The following is an 18883-nucleotide window of genomic DNA, read 5'->3' on the forward strand; positions in this document are numbered from 1 at the left end:
TTCCCGCGAGGCTGTAGGTCTAGCTTAGTTGTAGCTTTCTCCAGGAAGCCCTTCTGAAATGCTGCACACACCTCCTTCACAGCACATATGACCCCGCAACAGGAGGCTAGTCTGCAGCGCCTCGAGGGAAGAGACTGGGCCCATCCACATTTCTATCCTGAAGACCAGCCCAGAGCCAGCATCTAGGAAGCACCCAGTAAAGGTGTGGCCAATGAATTAAAGACTGGATGAATGAACAAATGATGTTAACCAGCATATTTGACATCTGAAAAGAATCTCCCCTTAAATGCAAGACCCTACGAAGGCCAGGGCCAGGTAAAGCAGAGGCGCGAAGGGGAGAAGGCGTGGAGGGAGTGGGGCAGCTGCATGGTTCCCTGCTTCCCCTGGAGCTCCCCCTCCCACTTGGGGTTCCTGCCTGCTGCTGCCTCCTGGCCCTCTCTGACAGGCCTTGGCAGGAATAAAACCCTCCGTCTGTTCTTTATGAGCTCAGAAGAGACGGACTAGAATTTTCAAAAATAGCCTTCTAAGAAATTGAAAGGAAATACAACAACAAAAAAGCATAGGAGAGTCAATCTGCTTAGAATCCTGGAAGAGGCACGGACTGCCTTCCTGCACCTCAGATGATCTCCTGATGGATGGGCCCGGCTGGCCGGGCATGCTGCCTGGGTTTCCCCCGCCTCTGTTTCCAGCAGCCTGGACCCTCTCCACAGAGAGTGTGAGCTGGTTGCTCCTACCCAAACACCAGCGCGCAGTCCATGCCAGGACACAGGCCAACACCGCTTTTTCTGCCCCCAACCCTCTCCCTGGAGCCCTGTAGGGCCTGGCTCCGGGCCCACTCAAAGAGCCCAGTGAATGGCAGGTCTGGAGCTCAAGGCAGGCCCTGGCCTTCCCCACCAGGCTGGCAGCTCTGCCAAGGTTCCCAGTCATTCAGAGCTAGAAGCCCTCAGTTACTCACAGTTCTGGCCCTTCTCAGACAGGAGCCCCCTAAAGAGCCAGTTTCCCCATCTTCCTCCACCATGGAGGAGAAAGGGGACAGTCAGAGAGTGAGGGGCTGCTAGTGCCCATCTGATGATGCAGACCCCACCCCTCTCACTCCACATTCCCCAAGGCTCTCTCTGCTCAGGCCAGCGAGTTCCTGATCACAGGAGCCCCCACCTGCATATTTTCATTCTCCCCCACTCACTGCCATGCCCTGGCCAGACCCCTGGATCCCTCTCCTAAGTCTGACCCAGATGGGGACACTTTTTTTTCCACCTCTCTTTAGCCAAGCAAAGTTGGAAGTCATCAAAAGGAGTTTACTAGGAAACAAAGGCACATGGTGGAGGGAGGAAAAGTCCATGCATGGAAGCAGGATGTTTGCTGGGCACAAGTTCTGAGCCTCTGGGGGAGAAAAGCCCCTCAGCCAGGACCCTCGGGGGCAGCTCTGTCCCCGGCAGCAGGTCCCTGTCCTTCCCCACCAGAGACCCTCAACTTGCCCCCATTCAGGCCCAGCCTCCACTAAGCTGGGGCTCCGTCAGGCGGGCTCCAGCAACGAGGCAGTGCGTACTATGTAGAAGCAACTCAGTCTTCTTGCTGACTAACTGGGGTAGGCAAGGGCTCTGGACTGGACAAATTCAGCTTTGAACCTGGCTCTGTCCATTCATGGCTGAATGGTCTTCGCTGAGTCCTTAACCTTGCTGACCCTCAGCCTCCCTGTCCATGAAAGAGTCTAGAGAGGAGTTTCCCACAGGATTGGAGGAGAAAAGACTTGTAAAGCGCAGGTCCTGGCATGCAGCAGATGCCCAGTGAATGTGTCTCATTTGTTAAGTTATTAAGGCCACTATGCCCAGGCTCCATCAGGGCAGTCCCACCGCTTCTGAGCCTATCACCGTGTCTCAGCCGGTGACAGGCCCGGAGTCCTGCTGGCAACCCCAGTTCCACCCTGGCCTCCACAGCCGTCAATGTGAGGTCCACTCTTCACAGACAGCAAGCAGCCAGGCCACCACGGGCAAGAGAGTGCAGCTCTTGTTCTCCTTCAGCCTCTAGGCACTTGTCTCCCAGGCCCCCCAGTGGCCCCCTTCAAGCCATACCAGTCCAGGGACACCACTCCGCTGTTCTTCAGGGCCAGGAATACCACGGAAGGTGGGGCCTTGAATGGTGCGGCCCCGAAATTGAAGTCAAGCCTTAAAGGGGTGAGGACGGGGGGGATCTGGCTCATGCTGTGAGGAACAGAGAAAGGGGTTCAGAGATGGGGATGGGGCCAGGGCAGGGCCCTCCCAGGGATGGCTGGCTTGGGCACTCCCCTCCCTCCAAGTGGGAACTGGAGAATCTGGGACTCAGGCGCAAGGGTGGGCTGGCTCTTCAGACCTCAAGCCAATTCTTCCCTTCCCTGGGCCCCTCCAGGGATGGGCGAGAACTGGGGAGCTCTTCCCTCAAAGAGATGGGAAACAGCTTCCTTGTTCTGGGAGTCTGGGCAGAAAGCTCCATGAACATCCCTAGATAGGCCCTGCCCCCAGCCCCCACCCCCACTCCAGGCTCAGCTCACCTGTGCCGGGTGGGCACCTTGTAGGTGAGCTCACAGGGGGTGGGGTCACGCTCCAAGTAACTGTTAAGCAGGTCCAGAGAGAAGAGGCGCCACAGGTGCTTCCGGGTGATACCCTCAGCACTGCCCATGGAGCTGACATCCAGGATGGAAAGCAAGGGGTACACGGCCACCAGGGAGACGCAGCACAGCTCCTGCTTCTCCCCAGCCTTGTTATCTGGGGAGGGGGGTGAGGAAGACAGAAGTGGGCTTGCCTCCCACCTTCCCTGGAGGGGGCATGCAGGCCAAAGGTGCAGGAGTCCTGGGCAGTTGGCCCCAGGACCCTCATCAGGAGCAGTGGACCCCTCTCGGGCTCTAGGGCATTTCCAACAACAGCCAGCCCTTGTCTGACACTTTCTGTGTACTGGGCATTGTCCTCAGTGCCTTATACACATGCCTGCACTTAATGTGTACCGTGATTTGGTTTCAAACTAATTTTTAATAACAGCTTTATTGAGACACCATTATATACTGGGTAATTTACCCTTTTAACACATACAATTCAGTTTTTTTTTTTTTGTATATTCACAGAGTTGTGCAACCATCACCACTATCTAATTTTAGAAAATTTTCATCATCCCAAATAGAAGCCTAGTACCAATTAGCCATCCCTCCCCATTCACCCTCCCCAGGCAACCGCTAATCTACTTTCTGTCTCTCTCTGCCTATTCTGGACATTTCATATAAATGAAATTATTCAATATGTGGCTTTTTGTGACTGGCCTCTTTCACTTAGCATAATGTTTTCAAGATTCATGCAAGTGGTGGCAGGTATTGACTTCACTTCCCTTTTCTGGCCTGTGTGACATTATGATCCCCATTTTTATTTATTTATTTAATTTCATTTCATTTTTGAGATAGGGTCTCACTGTGTTGCCAGGCTGGAGAGCAGCGACACAATCACAGCTTATTCACTGCAACTTTTACCTCCTGGGCTCAAGCAATCCTCCTGCCTCAGCCTCCCAAGTAGCTAGGACTACAGGTGCATGCTACCACACCCAGCTAATACTTTTATTTTTGTAGAGATGGGGTCTTGCTATGTTGCCCAGGCTGGTCTCGAACTCCTGGCCTCAACCAATCTTCCCACCTCAGCTTCCCAAAGTGCTGAGATTATAGGTGTGAGCCACCATGCCCAGCTTATTATCCCCATTTGAGACATGTGGAAACTGAGCACAGGGAGGTGAAGCAACTCGTTAAGGTTACAAGTGCTGGAGCCAGGATCCAGTTCCAGAGCCTCTGGCCCCAGTCCACACTCTCAATTTCCTCTCTGTGCTGCCCTGGACTCCTTCCAACCTGCCTGGGGCAGGCTAGTAAGTACTCCATTTTACGGAGAAGGAAGATGAGGCCCAGCGAGGCTTGGGGGCTAAGATTTCACAATAAGTCAGCACAGCTCCTAACTCTTTGCACTGGGCACATGCACATATGGACACTCATCTGGACAGACATGTCTGGTGTGTGGCATTTATGCCAGACACCAAAGGCACACCTCAGCACACCCCACTCACCCTGCCAGCTCTGCCTGACGCTCGGCATCCACTGCCTCACACAGCCCTCCCCCTTCATCCTGCATTTCCCCGGCCCCGACTCTCTATGCCAGGCAGTCTAGGTACCTCTGTGGGAAAGGAGAGAGTAGGTGATGGTCCAGGAGTACTGGGACCGCTGCTTGGGACAGGCAGTCAGGCAGATGGTGTCCTGGGACCGGGGTGGCATGCTCCCCTCTGTTCGGTCCAGCTGCAGAGCTGCTCAGGGATGATGCCGGAGGGTCAGTGGGTAGAGGAGGCCCAGCCATTCCTCCTGCTCCTTTGTAGATACCCTTCCCTGGGCACCAGGGGAGGACAGCAGGCCCTGAGGCAGGAAACAGGGAGTGGAGCCCCTCCTCCCAGCCTGGGTCAGAGGGACCACACCTAACTTTGTGTCATTGGCACCTGCTAAGCACTTTTCCCCACCTAGCAGCCCTGTGAGGTAGGTGCCACCTGGTGCCCCTTTTAACAGATGAGGAAGCTGAGGCTCAGAGGTGGGGTCTCGCTATGTTGCCCAGGCTAGAGGGCAGTGGCTCTTCACAGTTGTGATCATAGTGCACTGCAGCGTGGAACTCCTGGGCTCAAGCAATACTCCCACCTCAGCTTCTTGAAGAGCTGGGACTACAGGCGCGTGCCAGTGTGCCCAGCAGGTTAACCGGTCTTAACCAGTACCTCCTCCCACCTCCCCTGGCCCCAGTCCCAGCTCAGGCCCAAGTACCGAGGGGGTGGTTGTCAACGGCCTCAGGGCTGCCCTGCTCCAGGTAGAGGCGGTAATAGAGGGTGCAGTTGCCGTCATTCAGGAGGACAAGGAACCTGGACTGCTTGCTGTTCACCAGCACATTCCCAAAGGCCAGCTCCTTTTCCTTTGCCTGGAGGCCACAGTCAGCCAGCCGGGAGTGGGAGCTCCTCCAGGCCCACAGCCCCACTCTCCCAGCCCCATTTTCAGAGCATCCCCCAAGGAAGGGCAAGTTTGGGGTATCCGGGGCAGAGGGCTCCTATCCTCTGCCCTCTTGGCCTTCCCTCCCACCTTGGGAGGTTCCCTGGGGCCTTCCCTCCCACCTGTCCGGGCCTCTCCCCCAGCCCCCTCCTGCCAGAGCCCTCCCACTCACAGAGAGGCTGCTGGTGAGCCCAACGCCCACCAGCCGGAGCATGTAGTGGGTGGTGGCAGCGGGGTTGGCATTTGGGGACAGGCCGGCTTCCCAGACCCACATCCCCACTTGGAACAGGTACTTGGTCTCCTCCAAAGGGCTGAAGGTCCACGTCAGCGTCTGGGGTCACAGAAATGATCCCTGCAGTGGCCTTCGGAAGCCCCTCCACAGGTACCTGGCCATCCGAGGCCCCATGGCAGGGCGTCATGCTACGTTAGCCCTTTCTCAGAATCTACCCTATGCCAGGCATTGTACACGGCACATGTATGGAGTCTCCCCAATCCCCTCAATCCTATATCCCCACGGGGTCAGTAGTATTATTTCCATGCCTCATTTTCTGATGAGAAACTGAAAGTTCAGAGAAGTGGGGTCCCTTGCCCAGGGTCAGACAGTAGTGAGGGTGGGAGCGGGATGTCAACATTCCAGGCCAACTCCACAGGCTATGAGGCCTCTTGTCCCCCCGAGGGGCTGTCCCCTTGGCTCTTACAGATGCCTGTGCTGGTGCTTCTTGTCCCAAGTTTGGCCTCCCCAACCCGTCGGTAAGGTTCTAGACTAGGGACAGGGGTCTGCTATTTTGAATCCCAGCCAGCACCCCCACTGTGACTACAGTCTCCTTCCTCACCCTCACTGGTGGCTGGCCATTTGGGCCCAAATCCAGCTGCTGCAACCCACCCTCCCAATGACCTCCCAGCTTTGGGGACCATGGATGGGGAGGTGACATGCCTCTCAGGCCTGGCATCAGAAACACTGGTTCCAGTCCCAGCCCTGCACGGCCTAACTTATGATCTTAGTAAATGGCTTCCCCTTCTCAAGCCTCAATTATTTGTAAAATGGTGGGGGGATGGTGAGGGTAATAATAACACCTCATCGCCAGGTGGGGGAAGTTACTGTGGATGGAATTGGGGGCTGCACATGGCAAGTCTGGGCTATGATAGGCACAAATAAGAGATGACAGAAGTGAAGGTTGCCGTCACTCGGCAGGAGGGGAGCCACTCACAAGTCTCTCGTTGGGCTGGATTAGCCCCCTGGAGGGCTGGACAGCCAGCAGCTTTCGATGCTGCTCAGAGACCCTCCACTCGAACTGCAGGGGCAGACGCGAGGGGTTGCGGAAGGTGAAGGGGCTGGTGGAGGAGCAGCCCACCCAGGTGGGCTTGAAGTAGAGGCTTTTGTGGGTGTCCAGCTTCAGCTGCAGTGGCTCCTCCCGGCTGTACATGCTCACCTCCTGGAGCCAGAGGAAGAAGGGCAGTGCCCTGACCTCACTCTGCAGTCCCAGCCCCCCACAACATGTCCAGGAAGCCATGGCTAGGCAGCTTTCCCCACTTGAAGCAGGCAGTCAAAGGCCCTCTGCCAGCCCGTGTACCGGCAGTTTCTGTCAAAAGCAGAGTCAATGGTGACTGGCCCAGGAGATAATTCTTGAAAAGAACTCAGGGACTGAGAGAGGATCTATAGACCATTCCACGGGGCCAGACATGGGCCCACCATCTCAGAGTCTATTGCTGGCCTGGACCCAAATATCCCTCTACCACCTGCAGGTGTCTTTTGCCTCCCCCAGATCCTTCCTCTGGGTTCTCTGCACCCTCTTTCTTGGCCTCAGACCCCATAAGGGGGACAGGCAAGGCCCTGAGGGGTGGGAGAGTTGTTCACAGAAGTGGTCAAGCAGGTTCTTTCCCTACTATGCTACTTCCTGGAGGAGAAGTGGCCCCCTGGAAATCTTAGGGGCCAACCCCAGAATATGGCCTTGAAAAGGGTGGTTCAAGATTATGGCCCATTCCCAAGGACCCAGGTCCCCTCCCTCTGCCTCCTACCTTGAGATACTGGGGGGAAGCATTGCACTGCAGATAGAAAGTGTGCTGCTTCCAGGAGCTGCCCTCAGGGTAGGTGCAGATGAGGATGATCTGGTGGGCCCCGGGTGCCACAAGGCCCGAAGTGGGCCGAAGGATGACGTCTGAGCCTCTCTGGGGGGCCAGGCTGAAGGTCAGCAGCTTGCAGTCTTTGTTGACCAGGAGCAGGCTGCGGTAGGTGGGCTCACCGGAGGACACTGCTGGAAATAGCTGGGGGTGGGAGAGGAGGAAAGCGGCCCCCCGCTCAGACCTCCACCCTGGGACACACACTCAGGGCCCTATGGGGGCTTGGGAGGAGCTGTCTCCAAGTAGATCAGAGGTGCTGCCCTGCAGCCCAGTCAACGCCCTGGGAACGGGGAATTGAAGGAGGCCACGAGCTGACACCAAAGAATGCTTTTGTTCTCCAGAGACCTCCAGAAAGGGGCGGGGGGGGGGCAGGGGGGCGGGGGCACAGGCCCCTGGGAAACTCAGGCCTCCAAGGCCGTTCCTCAAGGATAAAGTAGAAGTTGTTTCATTTTAGGGTGTCTTTGCATCACTCTTTGGAGAACTCATTTTCAGAGAGCCTGGTCCAGAAGCTCTGGGGCTGCAGTAAGTAACCACTTCGGGCTGGGTGTGGTGGCTCCTGCCTGTAATCCCAGCACTCCGGGAGGCTGAGGCAGGTGGATCACTTGTGGCAGGAGTTCAAGACCAGCCTGGCCAATATGGTGAAGCCCCATCTCTACTAAAAGTACCAAAATTAGCCAGTTGTAGTGGCGTGCATCTGTAATCTCAGCTACATGGGAGGCTGAGGCTACAGAATCGCTTGAACCCAGGAGGCAGAGGTTGCAGTGAGCCAAGATCACACCACTGCACTCCAGCCTGGGTGACAGAGCGAAATTCTATATCAGAAAATACAAAATAAAAAAGTAAGTAACCCCTTCTAGATGATTCTCATGCAGGTAACTGATGGAAACTGGCCCAGATAATCTCAGCTCCCAACACTCTTCAGGTATCCAGGGTGTGGCCAGCACCAGCTGAGAGCTGAGCAGGCTGCAAAACACAAAACCTGCAATCCCTGACCAGAGGTCCCCATCAAGCTGGGGTGACAGTGCCTGTGTGTTAGCCGGTGAGGGAGTGACGCCAGATCTTCTGGGCTGCATAAAGGCCACAACCCACCAGGAGGAACTGCCAAGGGAAGGGGGCCGAGGGAGACATCGAGGGGGACTCTGTGAGGCAGGAAGGCCTTTGGGAAGCAGCTGCCTCTAAGCTGAATCTTGGGGTGGTATATGTTTGGGATAGGAGGGCAGAAGTGTAGGTGGTAGGGGGAACAGAATCAACCCAAAGCACATTGTCCCAAAGTGGTGCTTTTCCAGCAACCAGAAGTCTAATGCAAAACCTCCAGGCGATGGAGACTGGAGGAGACATCAAAGGTGAAACTGGATTGGAAGCCGGCGGTCTGGCCCCAGGCTCTGTGCTTTTCAGCCCTATGTCCTCTTGCTTGTCAGGTCAGGCAGGGCTTCTAAGGGCCTTGGGGTGGCCTGGGAATTATGATCTCCTGAGGATGGGGCTGGCTCTGCCTCTCATAGGGCAGGGTGCTTCCCAAAGGCAGGGGCTGCTGGTGCGGCTGTCATATCCCTGGGCCCGAGCCCAGGACTTGGGGCACCCAGGCATTCAGTAAACAGGACACAAACAAATGCAGGAGCTGGAGGGTTTTGAACCTGAGAGTCATAGGAGCCAGTGAGTATTTCCAATGGAGCAGCAAGGGGCCAGCTGTCCAGGATCCAGACTCTCCCCAGTCCCAGTGTCGGGGCCCAGGAGCAAGTCCTCAGCCGGCCCAGATACCCAGAATTGGCACAGCGGACGTGGGGACAGCCAGGGAGGGTGCAAAGATGTGTTTCTGAGGCCATCAGAGAATGGGAGAGGGATCTGCAGGCCAAGGCAGAAGCTAGGGCTCCCCTGTCTCCCTCCCACTGCTGTTGGGGCCACGCTTACCTTGGGGACATCTAGGGAATACTGGGGGATGTGGTGCTCAAAGCCAGCGAAATAGCTGTGGCCTCGTGCCCGCACCGTCAGGCACCAGGATGGGCACATGGTGCAGTCCTCCTCAATATTACTGTAGCTCTGCAGGACCTGCAGAGGGGCCAGACCCACGGAAAAGCTCAGAGTCCTGTGTCTGCCCTGTGGGGCACCCCATTTTGCCCCTCCTTGCCCTTGTGCTGCAGGAGTCTGACATTGGACACAGACAGGAGGGCCTCCCTGGGAAGACAGTGCAGAGAACAAGAATCCCAACCCAGCCCCTCCTGCGGGGAGCTAGGCCCTGCATCCATATAGCAATGCTCTCTTTAGTCCTCACAACCCGGGAGGAGGGTGGGGCTGGGATGTGAAAGCACCATTCATTCTGTAAGAATGAGCCTAGAGAAGCGCTGGCCAATAGAAATATCACGTGAGCCACAAATGCCAGCCGCAAATGTCATTTTAGATGTTCAGTAGCCACATTAAAAAAGTAAAACACGTGAAGTTAATGTTAATAGTATATTTTATTTAACCCAACAGATCTAAAATCTTATCACTTTAACATATAACCAATATAAAATTAGTAACGAGGTATTTTACATTCTTTTCATACTAAGTCTTGAAATCCAGGGTGCATTTTACACTCACGGCACGTCTCAATTGGGACCAGCCACATATTAAAAGCTCAGTAGCCACGTGTGGCTGTCAGTGGCTGTACTGGACTGTGCAGGTCTAGAGCCTGTAACCTAAATATCTGACAGGCTGAACCTCAGCAGAGCCAGGCATCTACAACCTTATTCCTACAAACCTCAACATCACCCCACTGCCAGAGCATTAGGACGGGGGCAACCAAAGCCTCCACTTTGGAAAGCCTCCTCAAAAGATCGGACGTGGTCCCAAGTTTAGAGATGAAAAGATCAGGACTCAGAGACATTAAGGAACTTGCCCAAGGTCACATAGCTGGTAAGTGACCCTGATCTTGACCGCACAGCCCTACTTTTCTCTGGGCCCCAAGACCTTGGCCTCTGGGCAAGGGCAGTGGGGTGGGCAGAGTCAAGAAGGAAGGGATGGGCAGGACTAACGGATGAGGAGGGGGCACCACGCATCTGGGGCCAGAACAGCAGGGCTGGGGACAGCCGGCACTCGGAGTTCCCGACCCAGGGAAGCTGAGTCAGAAGCCCTTTCCATCACAATTATCTGGTGCTGCTGACTTTGTCTCTAGGCCCAGCTTCCTGCCCGCTCAAAGCTCCTTTAGAGTGACCACTTCTTAATTCAAGGACTAGTAGAGAAGCTAGGAGGCCTCCTAGCCAGGAGCCCCAGGGAGTATCTCCCTGTGCACCCAGTTTTCCCAAACAGCTTGATCTCAGCTGAGTTCTCCCTTGGAGGGGAGGGGAGACTTACATAAGAATGAGAAAATCAGATGGGCCGAGCTAGGCCAGGAGCTTTGGAGGAGACAAACTCATAGGGGTCACTGTCCAGCCAAGAGAAAGCCTGGCACGCAGAGGATGGAGCCTGAAGCTGCCCTCGGTCACTTCCTGCCACCCCACCAAGCCACTCAGGCTCCTAGCAGAGACCCCGCATTCCTCCCTCTCATTGCGTGCACACACCTTATAGATGGCGAAGGCTTCGAGCTCCACCGTGTAAAGGCAGTTGGGGTGAGGCGGCTGGAAGTGCAGGCGCATGGCCATGGACTTGAGTGGGGGCACGTCGCAGCTCTCTGGAGTCACCCAGAAGGGGCAGTCAGACCTTCGCGTCCAGACCACCATGATCTTGCCCTTGGTGTGGTTCATCAGGCACAGGGGTACAGGGTTGGGGGCCTCAGGCCCTGGGCAGGCACCGAAGTCTACCTCGACAGGCTCTACACTGATGGGCGGGGGGAAGATGGTTATGTCGCTGGTGCCGTCGAAGAAGAACTCGGTCATGGGGGGGATATAAGGGTACTGCGGGGCCGGCATGTCCTCCAGATCCTGCATGGGGAAAGACAGGTGGATAGGGCTCAACTGCCATTCCTCTTGCTGTTGCCCCTCCTGGGTACACTCCTGTCTAGAAAGGCTACACCAGTCGCCCTGACTACTAATGGTGCCCATGGGACCCTGGGGGCATGGGATTGCCCAAGAATCACTAGAGAAGGGATATGCAGCTGGGGAGGGCACTGTACCTGGATGGGAATCATGAGAGCCCCGTTCTGGTCCTGTGCCAGCTTCTTCTCCTTCAGCATGGCATCCAGGATGTCAGGGGGGTAGAGCGTCAGGCCCCGGGCCAGGTGTGTGCGGTACCAGGTGAGGTGCTGAGGCTTCAGGATGGCTGGCTTGGTGCTGTCCGAGTGGCAGGTCCCCATCAGGTCCAGGAACAGTGGGTCCTGTGACATTTGTCTGTGTGTGGTGGGGCATGGGAGGGGTGGTAGGGCAAGGGGGGTGCTGGGGGTTGAACTGAGGACAGAAGCTGGGCAGACAGGATAACAGAGGCAGTGGGGCAGAAGCTCCAGGTGGCCAGTGAGCAAGCACTCAGCAGTGGTCTGGCTCAGCCAGGGCACAGCAGGAGTCCAGGGAAGGTCAGGAGAGAGCACCCCGGTCCTTAGGACACTCAGCCATTACCCACCCTTCCTCTCTGCCATGGCCCCTGGGCATTCTCCCACCCACCCTACTGCCAGCCCAGAGGCCTGCCAAACTAGAATTCAGGCCCTCCCAAGGGAGGAGAATATGGGGGGCTGCCTCATCAGGCCTCCCTCTGGGCTTCTGTTCTTTCCTCCATTTCCAAGGCCTCCCCCAGCCCATACTAAACTGTCACAAGAATTAGAGAAAGGCACCCATTCCTCCAGGTACACAGACACAGCCCAAGCCTGGGCACCAGCTCAGGGAGGGATCATGGGTTACATTTCAGCCCCGTTTGCCATCTTGGCCAGGCACCTGCTGGTCAGGGCACAATGTGTCTGATCATGCCCAGGGACCTAGGGTTGGGGTCTAACTTGAAAGCTCTCTGCCCTATGCATGCTATGTGGGGTGGCTCCAGGGAAGAATTAGTCTGTGAAGTCATGGAAGGCAAAGAAAAGGCAAAGCCTGCAGGGCTCAGCGGGAGGGTGGGAGGCTGCGAGTCCAAGCCTCCCTCTCCCAGCCCATGAGCACAGCAGCAGCAAAGCGCCTGGCCTGGTAGCAGGGCAAGACTGGCACAGAGTGATCTGCCCTGTGCCCAGGCTGCACACTGGCTCCAAAAGCCAGGGCTGGGGCCCAGGAGTGGGAGACCACCAGGCAGACAGCCCTAGAAGTTCCAGAATACAGGGAAGTGCCCACCAAGCCTTGTCATCATCAGTGGGCCCCAGGGGAGCCCCTCCTCCCTCAGCCTCATGCCCTCCCCACGACTCACCTGGTGGTGGATGAGACAGGCCACACGCCGAAAGCAGATGATGGGGTGAGTGGGCTGGAAGGCACAGTGCAGGGTCATACGGGCCTTGCCCACCAGCGTCCCAAAGGCAGGCCTGATGGTAAAGACACTCTCCAAGCAGTCGATGGCAAACTGGAAGTGGGCCGTGCAGTCCGATTGGTTCTCAATCCACAGGGGCTGCTCGGAGCGCTCCCCAAGGTTGACCCAGCTGAAGTTGACACAGTAGTGCTGCAGGGACACAGCAGGGCCTGGACACAGGAGATGGGGTATCAGCTTCCCCAAGGATATCTTAGACAAAGTTCCACTGAAGGGAGGTGGTACTCTCAGGGCCAGGCTACAGGCCCAGAGCCCTGGCAGCCTGAGCAGAACTCCAGCATCACTGGATGCCAGTGGGACTGGGATCTCCAGGTAGTCACGGATGATTCCCCACAGGGCCACCAGGGGGCAGCAGACACCCAGGCTGAGGCAAGGTGGCCCCGCCTCCTAGGAGCAGGGAAGGAGCTCTTCAGAATCCTCAGCAGGGGCTGCTCCTGTCCCCAGGGGAGGCCCCTGGGGTCACCGGTACCTCTACAGAAACCAACGACTTTAAGCAGGGTCTTGGAGGCACAGCCAGAAGGCATGATGGAGCAGTAGTCCACAGTTCTGGTGTCCAGAGTCTTGGGGTGGAAGAACACCGACACACATTTCTTCTCTCCCGGAAGCACGATGCCATGGGCCGTGGGGCATGAGAAGGCCTGGTCTTCGGCCAGTTCATCCGGGGAAATTTCAATCCTGAAGGGGGCATTTACCTGTGTGGCCAAGCAGAAGGACAAAGGGTCAGGTCACAGAGCAGAGCACTGTATGATGGGACAGTCTACGCATTGTACTGGCGTGCCTAGCCAAGGGGGTGGGGGCAGCTGGCATCCAGCCTGTGCCCCACTGGCCAGACTGCCTCCACCAGGAGGAGAGAAGGGACCGAGTCATGTGCCCTGCGCTGGGCCTGCCCAAAGGGGGCACCTTTTAATTCTCCCCAGGGTACCATCACAGCTAACTGTGGTCCTGGGGTCAGGACAGTCTTAGGGCTGCTCGTGGCTCTGGGGAGCCAGGGTATACCCCAGCCCAGCCCCCAGCTGAGGAGAAGGACACACCTGTTGACAGCTGACATGGGTTACATGAGGCTTGGGGCCAAAGGCATGGAGAGAAAGGGGGGGCATTCTGCAAGGCGGTGATTTTAGGAAATTCCAATCCTGGGGGCGTGAGTCCTGCCGCCCCTCCTGCCTGGTGCCTACCGCCGACGGGTTGTGTAGCCTGATCTGCCTCTCCGAGGTGCAGCCCACAGCAACAGAGCCAAAGTACAACAGCTTCTGGAAGCCCTCGGCATCCTGGTCCTCCGGGCACTTGTGCTTTATGCTCACCAGCAGCTGGGCGCACTTGGCTGGGGCAGAGATGGGGGAGTCTTGGGGGAACCCACCAGGGCCTCTGTGGCCCCAGCTGAACAGCCCCTCGAAGAAGGCAGGTGGCCCCAGGGAAAATTTAGCCTGTAACATCATGGAAGACAAAAGGCAAAGCCTTCTGGGCTTGGGGGAGGGCAGGAGGCCGGTGGAGGCGGGGGCCAGGCCAGATGGGAGGTGGGGGACACTGAGGCCTGGAGGACCCAGAAGGTGCAGGAGGGGCCAGTCTGGGGACGGTGGGAGGTTGGGCCTCACCCACAGCCTGCAGCTGGATGCTGCTCCTCTGCCGGCTGCCCGCCCCGTACCAGCACGTGGCCTGCACCTCGTAGATGACGGCTGTAAGGGGCTGAAAGGTCACCTTGATCTGAGAGGCCTGGCCTGGCTCCAGGAGCCCCGTGGCGGGCAGCATCTGGAATGGGCTGGAGAACTCCCAGGTGAAGAAGGTGGGCAGGTCCCTGGGGGTGGGGGGCAGGTCAGGGCACTGGGCTCCCGGCCCCTGCTCCTGCAGTAGCAAGTCAGGGATGCTGGGCAGAACCTCAGACTACCCTACCCCGACAAGGGTATGCCTGTCTCTCCTGCTTCCAGACACCCTCCTCACAGCTCTTGCTCTCCCCGCCGCACCTCAGCCTCTTCCTCACCCCACATTATCCAGGCAGAAAAAGGCCTCAGTCGTATCTCCCACAGCACACATGGGCAGCTGCAGGGATGGTGGGCGGCAGATCAGCCTGTGGCAGGGCAGGGTGGCCCGTAGGCCGACACAGAACATCCCCTCCGCTTTCTCAAACCACAGCTGGTCCATGTACTCCTTCTGCAGTGTGAGGCGGGGCAGGGGCAGTCACCCATCAGTGGCATTCAGGGACTGCACATCCCGCCCACCCTCAGCCACCCCCAACACAACCGCTGAGGGGAGGGCCAGGCCGTGGCACCCACGTCAGACTCTGAGGGGAGCTGGGCACCTATGTTGTCTTGGTCTCAAACATTAGAGCCTCTTTTGTGGAAAAAGTATTTTGAGGAAATGTGGGTGGGGAGTGGCAGGAAGAGGCCAAGGAATGTAGAAGGGGTTTCTTTTCTTTTCTTTTTTTTTTTTTTTTTTTGAGTCTCGCTCTGTCACCCAGGCTGGAGTGCAGTGGTGAGATCTCAGCTCACTGCAACAGCCGCCTCCCGGTTCAAGTGATTCTGCTGCCTCAGCCTCCCAAGTAGCTGGGACTACAGGCATGTGCCACCATGCCTGGTTAACTTTTGTATTTTTTAGTAGAGGTGGGGTTTCGCCATGTCGGCCAGGCTGGTCTCGAACTCCTGGCCTCAAGTGACCTGCCTGCCTCGGCCTCCCAAAGTGCTGAGATTCCAGAAGTCAGTCACCGTCCCCGGCCACGGAATGTAGGACTTTCTGATGGCCAATATAATATCGCAGCCTTTACCCCCAGCATCTCCTGGGGAACGCCCTCTGTCTAATGAGATGAGGGGCTAAGCCCTTGACGGGGCCTCCCAAGCTGGATTGCTGCTGGAGCGGGCAGCATGTGTGTGTGCCGGGGCGCTCCTGGTTGCTCTGTCCTGTTTTCTGTTCTGAGGTCACTGCTCCCAGGTACCTCCCTGCCCTCACTCGCTGTGGCAGACCTTACCGCCTCCAGAGGCCGGAAGACGATGGGGAGCGTGAGGGTTATGCCTGGGCTCAGGAAGATGGGCTGAGGGATGACCGTGAAGAAGAACTTGGTCTTGGGGGGCCTGCAGGAGAGAGCCGGTGGGGAGCACCTCAGATCAGGGCTCAGAACAACTGGAAGAGGCAGGAAACGAGGGAAGCCCTGCAGCCAAGGGAGCTTGAGTCCCTGGGACCACAGAGAAAGCGATCAGGAGATGAGCACGTGGAGATGGAAACTCAGGGGTTTGGTCACAAGAGGACCCACCCTCCTCCTCCCCCTCCTATTCTCAGAGATCTTCACTCTGAACAAAAGGGGAGTAGTGTTTGTACCTCTGATGAGCATGGAGGCCTGAGAGGGACAGGGACAGTGAAGGGTTACCCAGATTTTAAAGAGTCCGCAAGCACTGAGGTGGGGGAACCAAGGCTGAGGAGGGTGGGACCGGGGATGCCTTTCCAGAGACCTCAGCAGAGCTGTAGCATCCCACAGTGGGTCAGAACCACAGCTGCTGCAGACTTTCAAAACATTAATAAGACAATGACATTGTCAGCAACTTTACACCAACAAATGTTTAAATTTAGATGAAAAAAATTGCTATAAAATATAATTTACCAAAACTGACCCAAGAATTGTACAATAAATATTATGGCTGCTCTGCCTAAAAACACCAAAGAAATGGAATGAGTGGTCAAAAATCTTTCCACAGGCCAGGCACAGTGCCTCACATCTGGAATCCCAGCACTTTGAGAGGCTAAGGCGGGAGTATCATTTGACCCAGGTGTTTGAGACCACCCTGGGCAACATGGCAAGATGCTGTCTATACCAAAATTTTTTTTAAAAAATTAGCCAGGCATGGTGGTGCATGCCTACAGTCCCAGCTACCTGAGAGGCTGAGGAAGGAGGATTGCTTGAGCCTAGGAGGTCATGGCTACAGTTAGCCATGTTAATGCCACTATACTCCAGCCTGGGCAAGGGAGTGAGACCCTGTCTCAAAAAAACAAGAAAGAAAGAAAAGAAAGAAAAGAAAGAGAAAGAAAGAGAGAGAGGAAGAAAAGAAAGAAAAAAAAGAAAGAAGAAATTAGATAAACTTTAATGTGTGTTTATGAGAAAGACTCTCAGCAAAGCAGGAATAGAAGAATATTCCCATAATCTGACAAGGTGTACACTTTTACAGAAACCCTACAGAAAATCAATCCTACCAGACAGCTTAATAGTGAAACATTGCAGTCCTTTACTCTGAGATGATAAACAAAACAAAGATGCCTCTATAACCACTTCTGTTCAACACTTTTCTATTTAACAATGCAGTAAGGAAAGCCAAAGGTGTAAGGACTAGAAAGAAAAAAAAATGTCATTTTCCATTTAAAATACAAATGTGTGCATGAAAAAACAAGAAAATTAACAAATAAATTATTAGAATAAGAGGATTTGCCAAGATCACTGAACATAATACCTATATAAAAATGACATTTTAAAAACTAGCAACAAACAGAAATAAAACAACTAAAAAATATGTCATATATAACAACAGCAAAAATATAAAATACTTATGAATAAATCTAACTAAGGATGTGCTAAATGTCTATGGAGAAAACTTTACACTCTATTGAGAGACAGGAAAGATAACCTAATGAATACAGAAATAGCCCATGTTCATGGAGTAAAAGACTCAATATTATAATGATATCATTTCTCCTCATATTCATCTATAGGTCCAATTAAATCCCAATCAAAATCTCAAGAAGTGTTTTATGTGCATGTATGATAAGCTGATTTGAATATTTATGTAAGAGATCAAAGGGAGGGCCAAGAATAGCCAAGACAATCTTGAAGAAGAATTAAGTAGGAGGACGTATACTACCAGCTATCAAGACTTACTATTCATAAAAATCAATTCCATATAGACAAAAGACAAATATAAAAGGCAAAAATATAAAGTCTTTAGAAGATACTAGAGGAAAATATCTTAATGACCTAGGGGTAGAGAAGGACTTCTTAGGAGAAGCATAAAAAAGCACCAATCATAAAATAAAAAGACTGATAAAGTTGATACCTTTAAAATTCAACTTTGAACTTTTATTCTTCAAAAGACACAATAAAGGGAGTAAAGACAAATCATAAGATGAGAGAAGATATCCACAACGCATAACTGGCAAAGAGTTTGTAATTGGGATAAGAACTTATACCAAAAAGAAAAAAGACAAGATAATGTAAGAGAAAAATGGCCACAGACTTGATCATAAATTTCACACATGAAGAAATGCAAAGTGTCAATAACCTACAAAAAGACACTCATCCTCATTCATTAGTAATCAGGGAAATGCAAATTAAAACCACAAGTTACCATTACTGGCAAAAATTTTAAATTCTGACAATAGCAGTTATTGGTAAGGATGTGGAGGAATGGGAACTCTCTAATGCTGCTGGTGGGTGTCTAAAGAAATCCATGCACTTTGGGAAATAGTTTGGTTTATCTACAGCAAGTGAACAGGTACATGGCCCAAGCCTCCGCAATTCTACTCCTGCGTCTATTCCCCAGAAAAGACAGAAGGTGGAGCAAGGTGGTGGAATAGAAGGTTCCATCCCGCAAGGTCACCAATTTAACAACTACGCAGGAAAAAAAAAAAAAAAACCTTCATAAGACTCCAAAATCACGTGAGCCTTCATAGTACCTGGTATTCCCCAGAAAAACTCTTGTACTTATGTAACTGGACACATATACACGAATGCCAACAGTCCCAAATAGAAACAGCCCAAACTTCCTTCATTCTGGATGAATACATTATGGTACAGGCACACATTGGGACACTATACCACAATGAAAAATAATGGATTATAGCTGCATAATTATTCATACTGCACGTATTTTAAACACTCACTGGCTTTTATATGGCATGTTAAAGGTTTTTTTTGTTTGTTTTGTTTTGTTTTGAAGAGAGCCTGCTTTCGGGGCTCAAGGCTGTGGCACTGGGTCCTTGATCCCTTATACTGGTACCTGTACTTCATCTTCTGGAGTTTCAAGGATCGATTTTTCAGAACCAGATTCCTTGTGGTCTCCTTTCCTAGCTCCCAGCCTTTCCAATGCAGCTCCTCAGCCACCTCAATGCCCCAGATGACCCTCTTGTTCACTCTCTCCTGCTTCTTTGGGGAGTGCATCTGAGTGTCCATGGAGCTTGCGGGCTGTTCAGGTGGCAGGGAGAAGGGGGAGCAGAAAGGATGTATCAGCAGGGTGGGATGCCAAGACCCAGAGAACAGGTGAAGGTCTTCGTCCTCCACCACCAAGAAAATAAAAGACAAGAAGAAAAACGATGATTGACACCACCCCTCACCCCTTGGGGATGGTCTGGAGACAGATGGTGAGAGGCAGGTAGGCCCTGAAG

The 18883-nt window shown here is 54.1% G+C and overlaps 1 protein-coding gene across 18 annotated transcripts in view, besides 2 other annotated features; it reads right to left on the bottom strand.

Moving 5' to 3' along the window:
• Nucleotides 1–18883, bottom strand: part of CFAP65 (cilia and flagella associated protein 65) — a 38706-nt gene that overhangs the window by 14136 nt on the left and 5687 nt on the right. For 14 of the 18 annotated variants that reach the window (XM_011510915.2, XM_017003753.2, XM_011510908.2 and 11 more), the window contains 17 exons: nt 18499–18683; nt 15489–15591; nt 14508–14677; nt 14125–14324; nt 13708–13853; nt 13005–13227; nt 12422–12687; nt 11220–11420; nt 10669–11028; nt 9041–9178; nt 7034–7279; nt 6226–6450; nt 5190–5348; nt 4799–4949; nt 4171–4299; nt 2525–2738; nt 2070–2198 (listed from right to left, as the gene is read on the bottom strand). In XM_011510915.2, the coding sequence (XP_011509217.1) occupies nt 2070–2198; nt 2525–2738; nt 4171–4299; nt 4799–4949; nt 5190–5348; nt 6226–6450; nt 7034–7279; nt 9041–9178; nt 10669–11028; nt 11220–11420; nt 12422–12687; nt 13005–13227; nt 13708–13853; nt 14125–14324; nt 14508–14677; nt 15489–15591; nt 18499–18683 (3245 nt within the window). Of the gene's footprint in view, nt 1–2069; nt 2199–2524; nt 2739–4170; nt 4300–4798; nt 4950–5189; nt 5349–6225; nt 6451–7033; nt 7280–9040; nt 9179–9566; nt 11029–11219; nt 11421–12421; nt 12688–13004; nt 13228–13707; nt 13854–14124; nt 14325–14507; nt 14678–15488; nt 15592–16710; nt 18684–18883 lie in introns of those variants that run through there. The other 4 variants (NM_001278295.1, NM_001278296.2, XM_011510916.2 and 1 more) reach the window with 3 other exon arrangements.
• Nucleotides 8279–8779: an enhancer, noted in NCBI's record as "H3K4me1 hESC enhancer chr2:219889982-219890482 (GRCh37/hg19 assembly coordinates)". NCBI's record gives its function as "activates a minimal SCP1, AML or CMV promoter by ChIP-STARR-seq in naive H9 embryonic stem cells {active_cell/tissue: H9 hESC(naive)}" and the evidence as "EXISTENCE:reporter gene assay evidence [ECO:0000049][PMID:30033119]".
• Nucleotides 12631–12820: an enhancer, noted in NCBI's record as "active region_17138". NCBI's record gives its function as "activates an Ori minimal core promoter by ATAC-STARR-seq in GM12878 lymphoblastoid cells {active_cell/tissue: GM12878}" and the evidence as "EXISTENCE:reporter gene assay evidence [ECO:0000049][PMID:35858748]".

The sequence above is a fragment of the Homo sapiens genome, chromosome 2 (genome assembly GCF_000001405.40).
Source record: "Homo sapiens chromosome 2, GRCh38.p14 Primary Assembly".
NCBI lineage: Eukaryota > Metazoa > Chordata > Mammalia > Primates > Hominidae > Homo > Homo sapiens.